The 21,507-nt window shown below is 54.1% G+C and overlaps 1 protein-coding gene across 2 annotated transcripts in view, besides 7 other annotated features; it reads left to right on the plus strand.

The window, feature by feature from the left end:
- Positions 1,958 to 2,037: a silencer, noted in NCBI's record as "silent region_5003". NCBI's record gives its function as "represses an Ori minimal core promoter by ATAC-STARR-seq in GM12878 lymphoblastoid cells {active_cell/tissue: GM12878}" and the evidence as "EXISTENCE:reporter gene assay evidence [ECO:0000049][PMID:35858748]".
- The window catches only part of BCL7A (BAF chromatin remodeling complex subunit BCL7A), a 40,161-nt gene continuing 20,732 nt past the window's right edge, over positions 2,079 to 21,507 (plus strand). For both annotated transcript variants that reach the window (NM_020993.5, NM_001024808.3), the window contains exons 1-3: positions 2,079 to 2,378; positions 10,895 to 10,976; positions 15,526 to 15,622. In NM_020993.5, the coding sequence (NP_066273.1) occupies positions 2,287 to 2,378; positions 10,895 to 10,976; positions 15,526 to 15,622 (271 nt within the window). In that variant the 5' untranslated portion in view covers positions 2,079 to 2,286. The remainder of the gene's footprint in view (positions 2,379 to 10,894; positions 10,977 to 15,525; positions 15,623 to 21,507) is intronic.
- Positions 2,168 to 2,487: a silencer, noted in NCBI's record as "silent region_5004". NCBI's record gives its function as "represses an Ori minimal core promoter by ATAC-STARR-seq in GM12878 lymphoblastoid cells {active_cell/tissue: GM12878}" and the evidence as "EXISTENCE:reporter gene assay evidence [ECO:0000049][PMID:35858748]".
- Positions 2,632 to 3,447: an enhancer, noted in NCBI's record as "H3K27ac hESC enhancer chr12:122460343-122461158 (GRCh37/hg19 assembly coordinates)". NCBI's record gives its function as "activates a minimal SCP1, AML or CMV promoter by ChIP-STARR-seq in naive H9 embryonic stem cells {active_cell/tissue: H9 hESC(naive)}" and the evidence as "EXISTENCE:reporter gene assay evidence [ECO:0000049][PMID:30033119]".
- Positions 2,638 to 2,797: a silencer, noted in NCBI's record as "silent region_5005". NCBI's record gives its function as "represses an Ori minimal core promoter by ATAC-STARR-seq in GM12878 lymphoblastoid cells {active_cell/tissue: GM12878}" and the evidence as "EXISTENCE:reporter gene assay evidence [ECO:0000049][PMID:35858748]".
- Positions 4,278 to 4,367: a silencer, noted in NCBI's record as "silent region_5006". NCBI's record gives its function as "represses an Ori minimal core promoter by ATAC-STARR-seq in GM12878 lymphoblastoid cells {active_cell/tissue: GM12878}" and the evidence as "EXISTENCE:reporter gene assay evidence [ECO:0000049][PMID:35858748]".
- Positions 9,712 to 9,831: an enhancer, noted in NCBI's record as "active region_7196". NCBI's record gives its function as "activates an Ori minimal core promoter by ATAC-STARR-seq in GM12878 lymphoblastoid cells {active_cell/tissue: GM12878}" and the evidence as "EXISTENCE:reporter gene assay evidence [ECO:0000049][PMID:35858748]".
- Positions 9,912 to 10,011: an enhancer, noted in NCBI's record as "active region_7197". NCBI's record gives its function as "activates an Ori minimal core promoter by ATAC-STARR-seq in GM12878 lymphoblastoid cells {active_cell/tissue: GM12878}" and the evidence as "EXISTENCE:reporter gene assay evidence [ECO:0000049][PMID:35858748]".

Here is a 21,507-nt window from a genome sequence, read left to right on the forward strand (position 1 = left end):
GTGTGGATAGACACATTTATCTGTTCCTCAGTCACTATTTGAATTCTGACATAATATTTTCCTATTTTAAATTTTAAGATACATTTTTTTAAAGTTTCATGTGGCCCAAAGCACATACCTATTGATCTCACATATCTCTGTGAGATCTGTTTTATGACCTGCTGTTGCATATTTTCCCAGAAAATTCTCGGAACGATTCTCTGAAGTCCTTCTTTCTCTTTCTCTTTTTTTTCTTTTTCTTTCTCTCTTTCTTTTTTTGTTTTGTTTTGTTTTATTTTGTTTTGTTTTGTTTTTTTGAGATTCAGTTTTGCTCTGTTGCCCAGGCTGGAGTGCAATGGCATGATCATTGCACCTCTGCCTCCCAGGTTCAAGCATTTTCCTGCCTCAGCCTCCCGCGTAGCTCAGATTACAGGCCTGCACCACCACGCCCAGCTAATTTTTGTATTTTTAGTAGAGACAGGGTTTCTCCATGTTGGCCAGGCTGGTCTCGAACTCCTGACCTCGTGATCTGCCCACTTCGGCCTCCAAAGTGCTGGGATTACAGGCATGAACCACCGCGCCCGGCCTTTTTTTTTTTTCTGAGACAGGGTCTCACTCTGTCTCCCAGGCTGGAGTGCAGTGGCTGGATCTCTGCTCACTGCAACCTCCGTCTCCCAGGTTCAAGCGAGTCTCCTGCCTCAGACTCCCGAGTAGCTGCGATTACAGGAGCCCACCACCGCGCCCGGCTAATTTTTGTATTTTTAGTAGAGACGGGGTTTCACCCACCATGTTGGCCAGGCTGGTATCGAACTCTTAACCTCAAGTGATCCACCCGCCTCGGCCTCCCAAAGTGCTGGTATTACAGGCATGAGCCACCGCGCCCGGCCAGTATTTGTTCTTTTCTTCATTTTTCACGTCAGGAGACTGCGTTTCAGAATAGTAAAAACAAATGCCTAGGAAAAGGCCTGCGGTCTCTCCATTTCCACAGTAGCGTGTTCCCCAAAGACCAAACCCTCAGGGGAAACGTCTAGAATGAGTAACAACTTAAGGCTGCAACCTTAAACTTTCCCAGGACTCAGTTTCCCCAGCTGTGAAATGGCTGCTGTCGGGCTGTCATCTCCAGGCCCGGGGCGCTGACATTTGGGCCACTCTCGGTCTCCCTCTTCATTCTGGGCGCGCATTAGCTCTGGTCCGGCCGGTTCCGCTGCAGCTGAACAGCAAGATGCGGCACCCAGGTTACCCTGATCATCGCAGATTTCTCCCCGGGGCTCTGTTCTGAGGCCTCAAAAGTGCTCCTTGTAGATGGGACCAGGGGTCATTTGGGCAGTAGCAGCGCCTGGTCTCAGTCTGGTACTGAAGTCAGGAATGGCTTAAGGTGAAATCGTGGTCCTCTGGTGAAGCTCAGCGAAGACCCCCTCGCCTTGTTTATGACAAGAGAACTTCTGGGGGCGGGAGGAAGAGTCCCTGTTACGATGCTGATCATCATTGAGCTTTTGCTGAGCAGAAAACTCTTTAGTACTCAAGGTCGAGAGTCTCTGGTGGTCTGCCTGGCACCAGGCACCTTCCTACAACCCTAGTTTTCCAAAAGGACAAAGCCTGGGGCAGGCGACGTCCTAGCTCGCATTTGAACAGGGCCGCGGGCCAGCAGAGATGCGCGATGCCCAACTCTTTCCAAGAGCACCTCGCGTCCCGAACCGGTGCCTTCAACTCGGAGAAGTCAAGAGACCCGCAAGAAACTTGCACGACTGCACCCGCCGCCGCGCTCTGGGGGCTGGGCAGGGGCAGCTGGGCTGGCTCCCGGGGAACGCGACCCCCCCGCGCCCCGCAGACCGGCTGTCTCCCATGGACCCCTCGGCACCTGCAGCCTCCGAGGAAGGGTCAGCGCGCGTGTCCGCACGCCCGCCCCCACCGCGCGCCCAGAGCCGGGGGTCGCCGTGCGCCCTTCGCCACCTCCCCAGGAGGGCGTCCGGGGCGTCCCCTCTGGGGGCGCAGGAGGCCCGGGGGCGCTGCCCGGTGGCCGCGGCGCCCGGAGGCCGCACTGCCGGCGGCGGCGGCGGCGCGGCTCCCCCTGCTCTGTGCAGCTGCCGCCCGGCGCTTGCGCACTGGGCCAGGCGCGCGGCGGCCCCGGGCTTTGTGTGTGTGTGTATGTGTGTGTGTGTGTGTGTGTGTGTGTGAGTGTGTGCGTGTGAGAGTGCGAGTGTCTGTGCGCGAGTGAGTGAGCGGCGGGCGGGCGCGAGTGTGGCCGCCGCGGAGCGCGAGCAGGACCCGGCGGGCGCGCTCCCCAGCCTCCGTCTCCCCGCCGGAACCATGTCGGGCAGGTCGGTTCGAGCCGAGACGAGGAGCCGGGCCAAAGATGATATCAAGAGGGTCATGGCGGCGATCGAGAAAGTGCGCAAATGGTAAGCGGAGGCGCCCGCCGCCAGCCGCCTCCCCGGCCGCCCCGAGCCCGAGCGCGGCTCCAGAGAGCCGCGGGGCGCAGCGCCCCGGCCGCCTGCCCCGGCCCAGCCCCGCCGCGGGCCCCGGGACTTGGCGAGGGCGGGCGGACGGGCGGGCGGCGCGCGAGCCGGGTCACCTGCGCCAGGCTGGGGCCGCGGCCGCTGCCCAGGTGCGCTCGCGCCTGTAGCCCACCTGGCGCGGCGGCCCGGAGGCGGCGGGCGCCGGGGCCAGGCGGTTGGAGCGGCGGGGCGGCCCCCGCCGCGGCGCTCGGCTCCCGGGAGGGGGGCTCGGGGCCGGCCCCAGAAGCCATTTCGTTTTGTGCAAGTCACATGAAAGCGGCTTCCCGCGCGCCGGGGCCGCGATGCCGGCGGCGGCGGGGAGAGCGCGAGCTCCATTGTGCAGGCTCCGAGCGGGCCGCCGCCGCCGTCTCCTCCCCGCGCACCCCGGCCCGCGCCCCGCCGCCCTCCGCCAGCCCCGGCCCGCCCGGCCGCCCGCTCCCGCCTCCCGGGCCCGGCGCCCTCGAGTCTGCGGAGTTTGCAGAGCGCGAGCCGTTTAAATTTAGCGCTTTGGGCTGCCTGGAGCGAGGGCTCTCGGCGACCAGGAAAGATGGGGGCGAGCGCTGGGAGCCAGCGGCCAGGGGCGCGGGGCGCCCACGTCCCACCCCGCTCTGCGCGGCGCCCCGGGCGGGGGGCTCGGGCCAGCCGATGTTTTTGGCCAGAAGCCGTTCGTCCTGGGCCGCGGCTGCCTCTCCACACCGGGAGCTCGTGTTTGTTTTGCGGAGGGAGCTGTTGTTTTTGTTCTCTGCACCGGGGAGAGGGGGACTTGGTGGCGGCCGCGCGTGGTTTTCGGGATCACATTAGCGTCCGCCCGGCGTGGCCCGGTCGACATTAAGGGGATCGAACCTTTCCGCGGCCTCGTCGGGGTCTGCTCGGAATCGGCCCCTGGGCCAGGCCCGAGGCGCAAGCAGATCGCCAGGTTGGGTCAGAGTTGTTGAAAACTCCCCGCTGCCTGATTTCAACTTTATTATTTTTTTCCCACGCCTTCACTGGGGTCCCGGAGGGAGAGGAGCCGCCGCAACGCTGGCTCTGAGTGTCAGCGCCCGCGGGCTCGTCTCGACCCTTTATTTCGAGCCTGGAAGCTGGGCAGGCCCTGTGGCAGGGGATGTTTACGTTTGGGGGTGTCGTTTCTCGAGTAGCGCCTCGGTCTCTAAAAGCCACTGGGGGCGAGCCTCCGGTGTGGCGGTGTCACAAGTTAGCTGTCCTTTCTGAGTCAAACCCAACAAAAAAGGCAAGAGGAAAATCAATAAAGTCCACGTGCTCCCCGGCCTCCTATGGAAAGGGCTGGCTGCGATGGCCGGATGCCCGGCCGTGGGCTGGGTTTGGCTCCAGTGGGACAAAGAATTTTCAGAACCGTGAGAAGGGGAGGCTTTCCAAAGTTGAGATCCAAGTCGTCGGTGTCTCGGGAGCTCCCCTGGTACACAGGGTGCCCGGTGCCCGACTGGAGCCATTTAAAAATGGCAGAAACAGCTGCAGGCCAACACACACACGCTGGAAAACAACCCGCAGCCCCCTCTACTGTGGGATTCCCCGCGGGAAGCCCGGAGTTGCTCCCCTCCTTGCCTCAGCCCCTGTGCAAAGAAAGAACTGGTGTCTGTGCCTGGGTCCCTTCTGTCGCCGGCCTGGAGGTTGGGAAACAGCCGGCAAGCCGCCTTTCTCTGCTCGAGGAGGCGTGGTGGGGCCTCCTACTCCAGGTTCCCGGCTGGACAGAGGCTCCTGCACCCTGACAGCTGCTCCCGCAGAGCGGCCAGCTGCTCTGCAGGGAGGGCAGATGGAGAGATGGGGCTTCCCACCCCGCGGGCCCCGGGGCGGCCGGCCTGGAGGCCTTCCAGCCCGCTGACCCCGCGGGGACCAGGCCTGTAGTTGGAGCTTGAGGGGCTGTACCTCTGCGCCTCCCTGGGTTTGGGGAAACAACACATCGTGTCCTCTGAAGACCTCAGGCTTTGGGATCTCATGGTCCAGCTTCCAGTTCACTTCGTTGCCGCGACCTTGGGCATATCATTGTCACTTCTCTAACCATGGTGACCCGGGGTTTTGTGCTTGGCTTCCAGGTCCCCTCGGGTTATTGAGGACGATTGAGGTCATGCCTCCGAGAGCACCGCGCCCTGGGCGCAGGAGGAGCTGTTGCTCAGTGTTGTCTGTGTTGTAAGGTGGACTTTGTAGAAACTTGGCTTTGAGGTTTTTTGTTTTTTTTTTTTTTTGGCCCCTTCTAAGCGAAAGCCTTGGACTTATTGCCCAGGTTTCTCTGGCCCCTGAGAAGCCATATCTCACCTTCCCCGCGCCTTCGGATTGGGTCTTAGACTCAGCCCATGAGACTGTGGGTTGTTTATTAATTGTGTGGTCACCAACCATGCATTTCACCACTGGTGGGGGGGTGGGGTTGCCAGGTTTAACCAGATAAAAATACAGCACACCCAGTTAAATTTGAATTTCAGATAAACAATGAAAGATTTTTTTAAAAATAAATGTTTTTGAGTATGTCTCATGCAATATTTGGGACACACTTATACTAAAACATTATCTAATTTATCTGAAATGCAAATTTAACAGGGCACCCTGTATTTTACCCAGAGGGAAGCCGAAGTGTTTGGCAGATCATTTGGCCCCATGAGCCTTGGGTGGGTTTCTCCTCAGCCCTAGTGACCCCTAAAATTACCCCCCCGACCCACCCACTGTCCCCTGATGCTTCCCCCACCCCCGGAAAAAGCTGTGGCCTCCCTCTCATTTGGGGCAGGCTGCCTCCTGTTCTCTTTTTCTGGTGTTTCAGCAAGGCAGGCCAGTGGAGGTGAGGTGACCAGAAGATGGCTAAAGGGAAAACAAAATGGTGGGCCTCTTTTTGGGAAACTGGGCCAGGGTTTGGGGGCCCTGTGCTGGTGGAGGAGAGAAGACCCCAGGGCGATGGTAGGAGACGAAAGCTTGGGCTGCAGCGTAAGCTTGGAGGCCCGCTGCGGTGGCTCACGCCTGTAATCCCAGAGCTTTGGGAGGCTGAGACAGGAGGATTGCTTGAGCCCAGGAGTTTGAGACCAGCCTGGGTCTCAAACCAAAAAAAAAGAAAAAGAAAAAAAAGAGCCGGGCGCGGTGGCTCACGCCTGTAATTTCAGCACTCTGGGAGGCCGGGCAGGCGGATCACGAGGTCAGGAGATCAAGACCATCCTGGCAAACATGGTGAAACCCCGTCTCTACTAAAAAAATACAAAAAAATTAGCCAGGCGTGGTGGCGGGCGCCTGTAGTCCCAGCTACTTGGGAGGCTGAGGCAGGAGAATGGCGGGAACCCAGGAGGTGGAGCTTGCAGTGAGCGGAGATTGCGCCACCGCACTCCAGCCTGGGCAACAGAGCGAGACTCCATCTCAAAAAAAAAAAAGAAGAAGAAGAAAAAAGAAAAATTAGTCTGGACGCAGTGGCTCATGCCTGTAATCCCAGCACTTTGGGAGGCCGAGGCAGGCAGGTCACCTGAAGTCAGGAGTTGGAAACCAGCCTGGCCAACATGGTGAAACCCTGTCTCTACTAAAAATACAAAAAATTAGCTGGATGTGGTGGTACACGCCTGTAATCCCAGCTACTCTTAAGGCTGAGGCAGGAAAATTGCTTGAACCTGGGAGGCGCAGGTTGCAGTAAGCCGAGATCGCGCCACTGCACTCCAGCCTGAGCAACAGAGCAAGACTCCATCTCAAAAAAAAAAAAAAAAAAAAAAGAAGAAAGAAAAGAGAAAAGGCCGGGCACGTTGGCTCACACCTGTAATCCCAGCACTTTAGGAGGCCGAGGAGGGAGGATCACGAGGTCAGGAGATCGAGACCATCCTGGCTAACAGTGAAACCCCATCTCTACTAAAAATACAAAAAATTAGCCGGGAGTGGTGGCAGGCGCCTATAGTCCCACCTACTTGGGAGGATGAGGCAGGAGAATGGCATGAACCCACGAGGCAGAGCTTGCAGTGAGCCAAGATTGCACCACTGTACTCCAGCCTGGGCGACAGAGCGAGACTCCGTCTCAAAAAAAAAAAAAAAAAAAGAAAAAAATTAGACAGGCATGGTGACCCTCGTCTGTAATCCCAGCTACTCAGGAGGCTAAGCCTGGAGGATCACTTGAGCCCAGGAGGTTGAGGCTGCAGTGAGCTACGATTGTGCCACTGTACTCTAGCCTGGGTGACAGGGTGAGACCTTGTCTCAAAAAACAAACAAAAAAAGTAGGCTTAGGCCCAGGACCCCTTAGCACCTGGTCTGAGGGTTCCCTCAATGACTTGCTGTGAGGACTGAGAAAGGTCTGTGCCTGAAGAGCTCCCGTCTGTCCCAGGAGAGGTAGAGGTTTGGGCCTGAGGCCTCCCTCACCTCAGCTCCTCCAGAGGTTTCATCATGGAGACATTCCTACTGGGCACATGGCAGGTCAGGCAGACCTGGGCCTAGCTAGGGTGAGGCCAGCCATGGGCCAGGCCTCTTGAGGTGACAGGGACTAGCCATGAGGAGTGAGTACAAGGACAGGGAGTAGAGCTTTCCTGGAGGGAGTCAGCAGGGTCCCCTTGAGTGGTGGGTAACCCTAAGATGGTCTTGTTGGCTAACCCTTGGACCTGGACACAGGAGAACATTCGAAATTGGCCTTAGCCTGGAGAATCTGGGATGGATTCTTGTAGTTTATATAGGAGTCCGTGCTGGGGAGGAGCAGTTGGGGCTATATTCCTACTGCTGGGACCTCATTTTTTCCTTTCCTCCCAGAAGCTCAAGTGTAATGGGAAGGGAAAGGTGTTGAAGTCAGGGTAAGGTGACGGGGCCGCCAAGACAGGAGGCGCGGGGCACACCCAGGGCCAGCTTTGCAGCAAGTTGGGCTGCAGCCTGGTGGTTGTGGGGATTTCTGCACCTGGTGCTTACAGGTGTCAAGAGTGAGGGCATCTGAGGGGGGCCAGAGAGCCCATCTGGGGCAAGCTGTCGCTCCCTGGGGCATGTGGGCCCAGGTCATGTTTTCAAGAGTAGCCAGAAGTCTGGATTCTTATGCAAAGCCTGTTTTGTTGTTTGTTTGTTTGTTTGTTTGAAGTTTGGCAGCAGATTTAACATTTTTAAAGTACTGTGCAGGCCAAACAAAACACGCCTGTTGACTGGTTGTTTGCCATCCTAAATATAAAGTGGGGCCCATGTGTGGTGGCTCACACCTGTAATCCCAGCATTTTGGGAGGCCAAGGCAGGAAGATCACTTGAGCCCAGGAGGTCGAGGCTGCAGTGAGCAGTGATCGCACCACCGCACTCCAGCCTGGGCAACAGAGGGAGACCTTATCTCAAAAAAATAACAAATAGGCTGGGCACAGTGGCTTATACCTGTAATTCCAGCACTTTGGGAGGCCAAGGCGGGTGGGTCACCTGAGGTCAAGAGTTTGATGTCAGCCTGGCCAACATGGTGAAACCCGTCTCTACTAAAAATACAAAAATTAGCCGGGCGTGGTGGCATGTGCTTGTAGTCCCAGCTACTCAGGAGGCTGAGGCAGGAGAATCGCTTGAACCCGGGAGGCGGAGGTTGCAGTGAGCCGAGATTGTGCCACTGCACTCCAGCCTGGGCCACAGAGCAGGAGTCCGTCTCAAAAAAATAAAAAAAATAAAAAAATAAGAAAGTGATGAGTATAGCTTAATACCCTCATTGGGGAAGAGGAGCAACGCCCTTTTTTGGGGAGGGGTATGTGTTCTGTGGTGATGGTTTTGGGGGGCAATTGTGGGAAACCTCAGCTGCTCCGCTGAACCCGTGTGCCCACCCAGTGTGTCTGTGGCTGTGAAATCCCATGTCCTCCTGGGTGCTCACTTGGTGCCTTAAACTTGAGCTCCATGGCCCCTCCGGGTGGCTGCTTAGCTGAGCATAGGTCCAGCTCAGAGGTAGAATTCTTAATGTTCTTGCCTCTGTCCCAGAGTCCCCTCAATGTCCACACCTAGAAATACAGTTTCTCATCACTGGGGTAACTTGAGAACTCGGTGAAGAGGTTGCCAGTTGGGGCAAAGAGAGGCACGAAAGCCTGGCTGCATTCAGCTTGTAGCCTGCGGTGGCCTCGAGCCTCGCTGGGAAGCAGCTGCAAACTTGCATCTTGGCTGATTTGCGGCCGCAAAGCCCAGATCTCTGGCACACTTTCTGCCCTGAAAGGTGTCCTGTGTGTTACAAGTCAATTACTTTTTTTTTTTTTTCCCAAACACAATCAAACCTTGAATGGGTTGATTTACTGGGAAGCTGGTCCAGGGCTCATGAGTAATGAATGGCTTTGGCCAATCTGCATGGAGTCCTGGCAATTTGTCATTCTTCCTCCAGCTTCTGTTACCCTGGCGCTCCTTTAGAATGATTCTTGGTTTTCATGGCCAACAGAATAGCAGGAGGTGGTGTCTGGGGTCCGAGCCCAAATCTAATTCTCTTCTGCCACTTCCTGTCTGTGAGACCCCAAGCTAGTGGTATAACCTCTCTGGGCATCCTGTTTCTGCATCTGTAAAAAGGGTGACAATCGTCCCCCTCTTGTAGCCTGTTGGGAATCCCAGGGAGAGAGGGTGTGTAAGTAGAGTGCTTGGCGTGGAGCCTGGCATGTAATAGCCTGGGCACACAGTGGCTATTGTGATGGTTGCTCTAACAACTGAGGTTCTTCCCAGGAGCACTCGGTCTCTTCTGGACACCTTCTGATTGCTCAGAATTGAGGAGGGGAAAGGTGGGCATTGTGGTTTGTCTGCTCTGCCCACAGGAGGCAGGAGACGGGCCAGTGGACTTAGACACTCGTCTTTCCTGCATCGTTTCTGGGTGAAAAGGTGCAAGGAGGAGGGAGCAGAGAGGCTGGTCTCAACAGCTGTGCTGGGTGAAGGGTTCGAGTGCTGGCTCTGGGAGAATGAGTTCACCTTCACCGCCCTGTGCCTCGGTTTCTTTATCTGTCAAATGGGGAAGTTGCCATTTCCTGCCGGATGAGCCGGCACAGTCCTTGGTACATAGAAGGCGCTAGGAATGGCCACTGGTATAATAAGAAAAGCCGGGCCGTAGCGTCCTCTGATGGAACACGTGGGACCCGAGCGGGCAGGGTTTTTGGGGGTGAGGTGTCTGTGGTTTCGGCTGGCTGGGTTTGAGTATGCTCCGTCATCCCGCAACCCCCGTGGTGACAGGGTGGGAGTCCTGTAACCTGTCACACCAGCATGTGAGGGCCACATGCCCCACGAGGGGGTGATCTAAGGCTGAGTTTGGGCAGAGAGGCCAAAAAAAGGTGCCAGGCAGCTCACGGACAGAGGTGCTCGTGCCACACAGAATTCTCAGTTCTGGGAATTTTTGTCACCAAAATTGCTGAGGACTCGGGCAGCTACGTCGCCTGTACCAGGGGTGCGCCTGCCCCAACAGTGCCTGCTGGGCCCCTTAAATCCGCCAGCCTCCTAGCTGAGCCATCAGTGGCTCCTTGGTGGCCTCGCAGGTCTCCTGATCTGGCAGAGTCTTGATTTAGGAGCCTCGGTTCCAACCCCAGCCCTGCTTCTGGGAGGCTCTCCTGAGCCTCAGTCCCCTCAGGGGTGTGGCTGCTGGGTCTTCGTGGCGGTAAGGGACAAGTCGGAGTGCAGGGGGTCAAGGACAGGAGGTGGCTGGCTGTAGCAATAATCGGAAAAATGACAGTGGCTCGGAGCAGAGTGGTGGTGGTGGAGGAGAGGGTGGGCATTGTTATCTCGAATGAAAACCAGTCCTGTTTGCTTCTGTGGCTTGTAAGTTTCTCCTCATCCATAAACCTGCCTCTCACAGTGGGGGGTCTGGACTCCGTCCTTCAGGCGTTTGTAATGCAGCTGGGGTGACCTTGCAGACAGGGTCACTAGGAGCCCTGAATCAGGGGTGCAGTTCCCCTCCCACCTGGCTGCACCCACACATTCAGGCTGTGTAACCTCCTTTCGGGCCGAGGTCACCACTCCCTGGCTCTCCTTGGCCGCCACGAAGGGCATTCTTCCGGCAGAGTGTGGGCGGCTCCCCGGCTTGCCTGCTCATGCCTCCCCTGACCTCAGACGCATCGCCCAGAGGGCAGGAGGAGCCCCGGGGTGTCCTTGGTGACGACTCCACCCCCCATGAGAGGAATCGGCCTGCTGGCCTGAAGCCCTCTCTGCTGCCCAGACAGGCGCGGGTGGCCCAGTCCACTGGCTGCGTGGCATTGGCAGTGACACAGGAGGAACCTGGGCCCGACTCGTGCCACCCATAGGAGTCCTTGTAATGGCAGCCCCACCCTCAGCCTTTTTGGCGACAGCCTGGAGAGGGCAACCACCCTATGTGGTGTAACGGGTGGAGAAACCAGGCTTAGATGGGTGATGTGGCCTGCCCAGGGCCTCCCGCTAGTGAGGGTGGAGCTGGGATTCCAACCCTCATCTGTGTGATCTGGAGCTTGCTCTCAGCCCCAAGGGAGTGTGGCCTGTGTCCCCCAGGGATGAAGAGTCCCCGGTAACAGGCTCTTCCTCATCCTCCTCAGGGAGAAGAAATGGGTGACCGTTGGTGACACATCCCTACGAATCTACAAATGGGTCCCTGTGACGGAGCCCAAGGTTGATGACGTGAGTATGGAGGGCTGGTCCCCTGGGGTGGGCCACCCATTCGTGCTCCTCCCACCATGGGGAGGGAGATTGTCCACTGCTACCCACCGTGCTGGGGCTCTGGGACCAAGAGCCCCTGGGAGTAGAAGGACCCAGATTAGACCTGGGGAGGCTGCTGTACCAGTCCCCACCCCTCCCACTCCAGCCCCAGAGTCTGGCCCTCAGAGCGGTGGACGGGGGGATCCCGCAAGCTGTGTCTTCTTCTTCTTCTTCTTCTTCTTTTTGATACAGAGTCTCACTCTGCCGCCCAGGCTGGAGTGCAGTGGTGTGATCTTGGCTCACTGCATCCTCTGCCTCGTGAGTTCAAGCGATTCTCCAGCCTCAGCCTCCCGAGTAGCTGGGATTACAGGTGCACACCACCACACCCAGCCAATTTTTTCGTATTTTTAGTAGAGACGCAGTTTCACCGTGTTGGCCAGGCTCGTCTTGAACTCCTGACCTCGGGTGATCCACCTGCCTGGGCCTCCCAAAGTGCTGGAGTTAAGGCGTGAACCAGTGCGCCCGGCCTGCAAGTTGTGTCTTCTGGGCCGAGCGCCCCCCCCAGGGCTTGGCACTGTGTTTTGGGGCAGGTGTGGTGGTGCCCACAGTTAGGCACGTTCTCCCCACCTTTGTGGTTCTGTTCCTGAGCCTCTGACCATCTGCCAGGCCCTGGGCTGATGCCTCACATGTGGCATCTCCGTTATTTTTCCTACTCAGCCTGTGGAGTTGATCTTTTTAACCTCTCCTCTGTACAAGTGAGGGCACAGGCTCAGAGAGGTGAAGCCACTTCACATGGCTCACCTCAGAGCTGTGAATGGAGCTCAGGTCTGTCTGACTCCAAAGCGCAGGTTCTCTCTGCGCTTGGAGAGGCTTCTGGTGAGTGGAGCTGCTGGTGACAGGGGTCCCCGGTGCTAGGAAAGCCTGGTGTAGGGATGCGGGGCTCCAGGAGGGCTCCAGGAGGGGTGGCGCCATCCCGACTTCCACCACTAGAGGGAATGCGAGGCGCTGTCCTGTGATGGCTGGCAACTGCCCCGAGCAGACAGTGCTCTCCCAACTTCGTGGTTCCCAGGCCAGTTACCTCCAGAGACCCCTCTCATTTCCATCCCAAATCAAGAACAGTCTGCCCCATAGGCCTTTGCCTGGGCCATTCCCCCCTGCCTGGACTGCCTTCCGTATTTACTCAAACTCAGTCCTTCTACCTGGGAAGATGGCGCAGACTAACCCACATGGCTGCGGCCACTCCTGGGAGTGACGTAAAGTCATGATTGGTAGGTTTGGGGTGGGGGAAGCATGTGGGGGTCCAGCTTCCTCCAAAAAGACAGGGGCTAAGTTTCTCGCCCCCATCTTCAGTTATCTGCCCGGCAAGTCTTGGGTCTCTGGGCAGGGCTGTGGCTCCATTCTTCACCCCGTGATCACATGCTCACCCCTGAACTTGGGCCTTTGTTGTCCCTTCTGGTTCTAGCCTGGGCTCCCGGAATCACCAGGGCTGCTTTCCCCAAAGGGACTGAGCCTTGGTCTCTCTCCGCATCTCCCAGGGAAGAGCAGGGCAAGCTCCTCGAAGGCAGTTCCTGGCTCCGGCCCATGTCTGTGCCTTGCCCGCCATTAGGTGTAGAAATGCTGGTTGCATTTGAGAAGATGTGGTCCCTGCTCTCAAGGAATTTCTAATCTCGTTTGGGGAAGATAATTATAGAATAGCATGAAACAGATATCAGGGAAGTGCCAAATGGAATATGATCAAGGGGAAAACGTAAGCCCTGGGCCATCGGGAAGGACCGGGCAGCTCTAGGCTTCAAGGGACCGTTTGATTTGGAGGCAGACAGACCAGCCCCGATTAACCTGTGATGTTAGGCAGGTGACCCCACATTGCTGGGCCTTAGTTCCCTCTTTTGTGTAATGGAGCAGTAACATCCAAATCGCGGTTTCTGCAACAGAGCAAAAGCAATATATCACCACGGAGAATACTTAGCACTGTGCCGGCTGTGCAGACGGTGCCGAGAAATGCAAATTCCCTCTTCATCTGTGAGCCATGATGTGCCATGTGCCACTCCCCCACCCCCTTTCCCTCTAGGGCGATGGTTCTCGGCCTGGCTGAGCACCTTCAGAAGATGCAGATTCCTGGGCCCATCACCAGCCGCTGAGTCTCTGCAGGTTGAGGCTGGGAATCTGCCTTGTGGAGGGAGAGCTTTTTATTGTTTTAAACACTCAGTATCTATATGGTTATATCCATTTGTTACTTTAGAACTCTTGAAAATTTCATCCTTTTAAATAGGTAAAATATGTTACAAAATTCAAATTCAAAACAATTTTTTGATTAAGACAATTTACATATCATAGAAGTCACTTTTTTTTTTTTTTTAAGAGACAGGGTCTCTGTTGCCCAGTCTGGAGTGCAATGGCAGGATCATAGCTCACTGCAGCCTCGACCTCCTGGGCTCAAGCAATCCTTCTATCTCTGCCTCCTGAGTAGCTGAGACTGCAGGCATGCATACCTGGCTAATTTATTTATTATTTTTATTTATTCATTTATTTTTTTGAGACAGAGTCTCACTCTGTTGCCAGACTGGAGTGCAGTGGTGCAATCTTGGCTCACTGCAACCTCCACCTCCCGGGTTCAAGCAATTCTTCTGCCTCAGCCTCCCAAGTAGATAGGACTACAGGCGCGCGCCACCACGTCCAGCTAATTTTTGTATTTTTAATAGAGACGGGGTTTCACCATGTTAGCCAGGATGGTCTTGAGTTCTTGACATCATGATCCGCCCGCCTCGGCCTCCCAAAGTGCTGGGATTACCGGCGTGAGCCACCACGCCCAGCCACACACCTGGCTTATTTATTTATTTAATAGAGACAGGGTCTGGCTGTGTTGCTCAGGCTGGTCTCAAACTCCTGGCCCCAAGCCATCCTCCTGCCTGAGCCTCCCAAAGTGCTGGGATTACAGGCGTGAGCCACCATGCCTGGCCAGAAGTCACTGTTTTATTCAGTTCAGTTAGTGTATTCACAAAGTTGTGCACCTGTCACCACTGTAATTCCAGAACATTTTCATCACCCTAAAAAAGGAACTCATACCCATTAGCAGTCACTTCCCATTCCCCTCGCCTGCCCCGGTAACCACCAGTCCACTTTTTGTCTGTTTGGATTTGTGTATCTTCCGATGTTACTCTTTTACTGCATATCTTTTATAAATCTGCCTCTCATCCCTGCATGCACCCCCCATCCCCACCCCAGTTCTCGCCCCTGGAGGCAACCAGTGTTGCCAGGTTTTGTTTATCCTTCTAAAGGGAGACTTCGCTCGCAAACATGCATGTAAATACACGCATGCACATACAGAGCATGCACACACACACACATCCTTTGCTTACCACTGGTGGTGAGGCTCACGTATCCTGCATCTTTCATATATATATATATATATATATATATATATATATATATATATATATATATATATCTTGGCGATATTGACATATGTTAAGTGTTAGTATTCTGCAGATCACCCCATGTTAGTCTGTGAAGAACCACCTTATTCCCTGTAATTGTTGCATCCGATTTCATTGAATGAATGTACCACGATTGATTTAACGAGTCTCCTACAGTTCAGCCAAGGTTGTTTCTAACATGATTCCTTTCGTAAAAAAAAAAAAAAAAAAAAAATTGAATGGCCGGGCACAGTGGCTCACACCTGTAATCCCAGGACTTTGGGAGGCTGAGGCAGGCAGATCACGAGGTCAGGAGTTCGAGACCAGCCTGGCCAATATATTGGTGAAACCCGTCTCTACTAAAAATACAAAAATTAGCCGGGTGTGGTGGCAGGCACCTGTAGCTCCAGCTATTTGGGAGGCTGAGGCAGAAGAATCGCTTGAATCTGGGAGTTGGAGTTGGAGCTTGCAGTGAGCCATGATCACGCCACTGCACTCTAGCCTGGGTGACAGAACGAGACTCTGTCTCAAAAAAAAAAAAAAGAAAAAAGGAATGGCACGAAAAGCATCCCCATCCTCCCTCCTTTCTCCCGGGGTCCTCCCTCCTTTCTCCCGGGGTCTTCCTTCCTAACTCCTCTTGCGCTTTTGTGCTGGAGGTCAGTGGAGTACACTTTGAGAAAGGCTGCCCCAGGGGGCCTGCAGCTGGTGGAAGTGAGTGACCTCTGGGTCACCTGGCATTACTTTGTACCTGGGCTGATGGTAGCCTCTTCCCCAGATACTCTCCCTAAAAGAGGAGGCAGGTCCTGCCAGCCAGGGTGTTTCCACACTGCTGCTGACAGCCCCAGAAACAGGCAGGCTTATTTTCCAGGGTGCCGGAGCTGGGCCAGCCTCAGAACCCTCCCCACTGTGGGGCTCTCTGATTCCACAGTGGGCGAGACCCAGAGGCCAGTCCCTAATAGGACGTGTTCAAATGTGGGCCCAGGAAAACCTCCAGAGGCCTGGGGGCTCCAGGAGGCTTCAATGGAATAAAATATTCACACCACTCCCCAGGGGCTCTGAGCACGTGTGCGCACACACATGATCTGGTGACTTGGTTTCTGCTCCATTTTCCCCTGCAGAAAAACAAGAATAAGAAAAAAGGCAAGGACGAGAAGTGTGGCTCAGAGGTGACCACTCCGGAGAACAGTTCCTCCCCAGGGATGATGGACATGCATGGTGAGTGCCCATGGCCTGCCAGCCTCTCCTGCCCAGCCCGGGGCCTTGGCCAAGCACTCGGTCATGTTTTTGTTTCTCCAGCAGGTTTGTTCACATTCCAGGCAAGGGGTAGGAGGGCTGGGCAGGGCCCGGCGGCCTCTGTGCCAAGGAGAAGAGTCAGCGGAGGAGAGGATGTTTCTTTTCCCAGCGTACCAAGCCAAGAGACATAAACTAAGCCAGAGACATAGAAATTAGACCCTCTCCTCACCCAGGGACAAGAACCCCGCAGGAGATGTTTCTCTCAGCCTCGTGTGTCCAGGAAGATTGTTTGGGCGTATGTTTCTTCGCCCCCTCATATAAATTATATAAATGGCTGTGTTTCCCATTTTGCTTTGGCTGCTGGGAATCTCCAAACTGGATTTTGTTTGTTTGTTTTGTTTTGTTTTGTTTTTGAGATGGAGTTTTGCTCTGTTGACCAGGCCAGAGTGCGGTGGCGTGGTCTTGGCTCACTGCAATCTATGCCTCCTGGGTTCAAGCAATTCTCCTGCCTCAGCCTCCCAAGCAGCTGGGATTACAGCCATGCACCACCATCCCTGACCGATTTTTGTATTTTTTAGTAAGACGGGGTTCCACCATGTTGGCAAGGCTGGTCTCAAACTCCTCGCCTCAAGTGATCTGCCCGCCACGGCCTCCCAAAGTGCTGGGATTACAGGCATGAACCACCGTGCCCGGCCTCCAAACTGGATTTCTGATTTCATGTTAATCCCACCAGGACCTTGGGAACTGCCCTTCCACGTCTACACCTAACTTCCTTTGCTGTTTAATTTCAAATGTTGTAACTTAGCCGGGTACAGGAAACACGCACCTGTAGTCCTGGCTCCTTGGGAGGCTGAGGTGGGAGGGTCGCTTGAGCCCAGGAGTTCAAGGCTGCAGTGAGCTATGATTGCACCTGAGAGTAGCTGCTGCACTCCAGCCTGGGCAATACAGTGAGACCCCATCTCTTCAAAAGGCAAAAAAACCCAAAAAAGTTGTAATCTAGGTCCATCAACCAAATCCAGATGGTGCTGTCTGCCATTGTTTCCTGTTGGCGGTGTCTGTTTCTGTTTTGACCTTTTTATTTGAGAGGAAACGTGCAAATGATGTGTGTATGACTCCATGAAATGTTCCCAAACTGCACACACCCACGTAACCACCCAGGTCAAAACACAGAACGTTCCGAGCTAGTCCCCAGTGTCCCCCGCAGGTCCTCACGGTTTTCTCCATCCACCCAAGGAAAATGCCCTCAGAGATTCAAACCTAAAGCTCCTTTTTTTTTTTTAAGGCAGAGTCTCGCTCCTGTCACCCAGGCTGGAGTGCAGTGGTGCGATCTCAGCTCACCGCAACCTCCGCCTCCTGGGTTCAAGCAATTCTTCTGCCTCAGCCTCCTGAGTAGCTGGGATTACAGGCACGTGCTACCATGCCTGGCTAATTTTTTTGTATTTTAGTAGATACGAGGTTTCACCATGTTGCCCAGGCTGGTCTCGAACTCCTGGTCTCGAACGCCCGCCTTGGCCTCCCAAAGTGCTAGGATTTACAGGTGTGAGCCACCGCACCCGTCCCTAAAGCTTCATAAAAATTAAGTTGGTTTTCCGTGTTTGGAAATCAGGAAATCTCCGTCCTGCCATCCCTTGAGAAATCAGATCTGGCAGCCCCGTGGCTGTGTGCTCCCTCGAGGCAAGGGCTGCCTGGAACTGCCTGAAGCCAGAGCCGCCTTCCCTTAGCAAGAGTGTGGCGCCTCCAGGCCCACCTGGCTCACCCACTGCCTCTTTGTCACCTGCCTGGCCTGCTAGGACAAGAGCCTGCAACCCCTGCCTTTTTCTATCTCTTGACCCCAATTTCAACGTCTTTGTACTTTTGACCACTGGAAGCTTTGGTACAGCCAGGTAGTAGTAGACAAATAACTAAAAAAGGAACTGGAAGGGAATATTGGTTTGCTGGAGTTTCTGATCTCTCCAGACCCAGGGCTGTCTTGTTCTGGGGAAGGAAGGCCAGCGAACTTCCCCACGTGCTCAAATCGACCTGTCTGGAAAACACAGTCACCAGCTCCAAGGGCAGGGGGACTGGCAGGTTTCTGAACGGGCTTTAGAAAAGCACAGTGGCGGTGGCTCATGCCTGTAATCCTAGCACTTTGGGAGGCTGAGGCAGGCAAATCACAAGGTCAGGAGTTCGAGACCAGCCTGGCCAACATGGTGAAACCCTGTCTCTACTAAAAATACAAACAATGGGTGCGGTGGCTCACGCTTGTAATCCCAGCACTTTGGGAGGCTGAGGTGGGCGGATCACCTGAGGTTGGGAGTTCGAGACTAGCCTGACCAACATGGAGAAGCCCTGTCTCTACTAAAAAATTTACAAAATTAGCCAGGCGTGGGGGCGCGTGCCTGTAATCCCAGCTAGTCGGGAGGCTGAGGCAGGAGAATCGCTTGAACTCAGGAGGCAGAGGTTGCGGTGAGCGGAGATTGCGCCATTGCACTCCAGCCTGGGCAACAAGAGTGAAACTATCTCAAAAAAGAAAAAAGATACAAAAAATTAGCTGGGTGTAGTGGCGGGCACCTGTAATCCCAGCTGCTCAGGAGGCTGAGGCAGGAGAATCGCTTGAACCTAGGAGGCAGAAGCTGCAGTGAGCCGAGATCGCACCACTGCACTCCAGCCCAGGCAACAGGGTGAGACTCCGTCTCAAAAAAAGAAAAAAGAAACGCACAGTGGGAGCCAGGCACAGTGGCTCACGCCTGTAATCCCAGCACTTTGGGAGGCTGGTGTGGGCGGGTCACTTGAGGCCAGGAGTTCAAGACCAGCCTGGCCAACATGGCAAAACCCCATCTCTACTAAAAATATAAAAATTAGCTGGGCATGATGGCGTGTGCCTGTAATCCCAGCTACTCAGGAGGCTGAGGCAAGAAAATCGCTTGAATCTGGGAGGCGGAGGCTGCAGTGAGCTAAGATCAGGCCACTGCACTCCAGCCTGGGCAAAGGAGCGAGACTCTGCCTCAAAAAAAAAAAAAAAAAAAAAAAAAAAAGAGCAGTGGGGCTTTGTTGCTGGTTAATGTGTCAAGAAAGCCCCCCCAACCAGCCATACAATCATAGTTGGGTTATGTTTCATTTTCAGAAATAGATATGTGAGCTGGGATGTGGCCTGTCTCAGTGGCATTCCTTAGCATCCCCTTTCCCTCTGGGGACTGGGGAGACCCCACGCCCGACTCAGGACTGAGGTTGGATTACAGACGCAGAATTACACCAGAGGGCCTTTTCGAGCTGAGGCCAGGACCCCACCTGGGTTCACATCCTAACTCTCCCTGCACCTTCCCCTGGCTGTGTGATCTTGGGCTATTTGTTTAACCTCTAGCTTTGGGGTTTGTTTAGTTTTAATCTGTAGAATGGGGATGGTAATGCCTACTTCATAAACTCACTGTGAGGATTAAATTAAATAATCTCTTAAAAACCTTGGCATGGGACCAAGCACAGTGGCTCACACCTGTAATCCCAGCACTTTGGGAGGCCGAGTTAGGAGGATCACTTGAGCCCAGGAGTTTGAGACCAGCCTGGGCAACACAGGGAGACCTCATCTCTACAAAAAAAACAATAGGTGGTTCGTATCTATAGTCCCAGCATTCTGGGAGGCCAAGGCGGGCAGATCATGAGGTTGGGAGATCGAGACCATCCTGGCTAACACGGTGAAACCCCATCTCTACTAAAAATACAAAAAAATTAGCCAGGCGTGGTGGCTGGTGCCTGTAGTCCCAGCTACTCGGGAGGCTGAGGCAAGAGAATGGCGTGAACCTGGGAGGTGGAGCTTTCAGTGAGCCAAGATCACGCCACTGCACTACAGCCTGGGCGACAGAGCAAGACTCAGTCTAAAAAAAAATAGATTAAAAAAAAAAATAATAATAATAATAAATTTAAATTAGCAGGTTGTGGTGATGCGCACCTATAGTCACAGCTACTCTGGAGGCTGAGGATCATTTGAACCTGGGAGTTGGAGGCTGCAGTGAACAGTAATTGCACCACTGCATTCCACTCTGGGCAACAGAGCAAGACCCCATCTCTTAAATATATATATATATATAATATATATATTATATATATTATATAATATAATATATAATATAATTATAGTAAATATTTTATTTTGGGCCAGGTGTGGTGGCTCATGCCTGTCATCCCAGCACTTTAGGAGGCCGAGATGGGAGGATCATTTGAAGTCAGGAGTTGGAGACCAGCCTGGTCTCTATGGTAAAATCCCATCTCTACTAAAAATACAAAAATTATTGGGTGTGGTGGCACACGCCTGTAATCCCAGCTACTTGGGAGGCTGAGGCAGGAGAATCACTTGAACCTGGAGGCAAAGGTTGCAGTGAGCTGAGATCATGCCACTGCATTCCAGCCTGGGCGACAGAGCAAGACTCCATAAAAAAAAAAAATTATTTTACTGTATTCAAAAATAGAGACAGGGTCTTGCTATGTTGCCCAGGCTGTTTCCAAACTCCTGAGTTCAAGCAATCCTCCTCCCTCAACCTCCCAAAGTGCTGGGAGTATAGGCATGATCCACTGTGCCCAGCCTATAATAAAAATTTTAAAAACCTTGGCATGTTAACAGCTCACATTTATGAAACCGTCACAATGTGCCAAGTATTGTGCTAAGCCCGTTACATCATTGCCTCATTTGAGTCTAATAACCAACCGCATTTTACAGATGGAGAAACTAAGGCCCAGTGAGGTGAAGTAACATGCATGGTTAGCAAGTTCATAACTTCCAGTGCCATTGATGGCATTTGAGGTTGGTTCTTTGAAGACAGAATCCAGGTTTGTGGCTGGCCGTGGTGGCTCACACCCATAATCCTAGGACTTTGGGAGGCCAAGTTGTGAGGATCGTTTAAGGTCAGGAGTTGGAGAGCAGCCTGGCCAAACAATGGTGAAACCCCATCTCTACTAAAAATACAAAAATTAGCCGGGCATGGTGGTGGGCACCTGTAATCCCAGCTACTCGGGAGGCTGAGGCAGGAAAATCCCTTGAATCGGGAAGGGGAGGTTGCAGTGAGCCAAGATTGCACCACTGCACTCCAGCCTGGGCAAGAGAGTGAGGCCGTGTCTCCAAAAAAAAAAAAAAAAAACCAAAAGATCCAGATTTGTGACCTGGATAAACTCTCCAGAAAAATCTAGGATGCTGAACAAACCAGGTCCCCAGACACAGGTGCCCTGTTGACTTTCTGATTTTCATTTTAGTGCACGTGCAGCCGAAAGCCAGTCAGACTGCAGAGTGTGTAAATGGGAAGGTCAGGGAAAGGTGTGGGCCGGGCAAGTTTTCTGGAAGGCTTCAAGTGGGAGGATGGGTACAGCAGGGGATGAAGGAGAGGGCGGTGCCCCGGGCCCTTTAGTCCACAAGACTCAGCTGAAGTTAGCCCAAGTATCAGGGTCACGCTGTTACCAGGCTACCAGGCTAGACCAGACGTTAAACATTAGTGCTCATTGTCATTCATTAACAGAGCCTCAGGAACCTACGGGGCCAGCCTCTTGCGCGTGTGCTTGCCATAGGAAGGAAGTCTAGTTTTTCTCAAGGGAGAAATCGGGGAGCACACATCCTTCTTTTTTTTTTTTAAGTCCCAGAATTCACAAGAGGATGCTTTTGTGTAACGAGCACCCCAGAGTACAGTTAAAATCAGATCCAGGTTACCCGTGTGGGGCCGCCTGACTGCCTGGTGCTTCCTCGGCAGGTTGAGGTAGAGGAGGGGCGTGGGGCTGGGAGTTGGGCAGATGGGTCCGGCAAGTGGCTCTGCTGCTCCCAGCCTCAGTTTCCCCCTCCGGAAAGTGAAGGTGGTAACGGTGCCTTTCCAACGGGTTGTGGGGAGGATTCCACGAGGTGTCCATAAATGCTT

The sequence above is a fragment of the Homo sapiens genome, chromosome 12 (genome assembly GCF_000001405.40).
Source record: "Homo sapiens chromosome 12, GRCh38.p14 Primary Assembly".
NCBI lineage: Eukaryota > Metazoa > Chordata > Mammalia > Primates > Hominidae > Homo > Homo sapiens.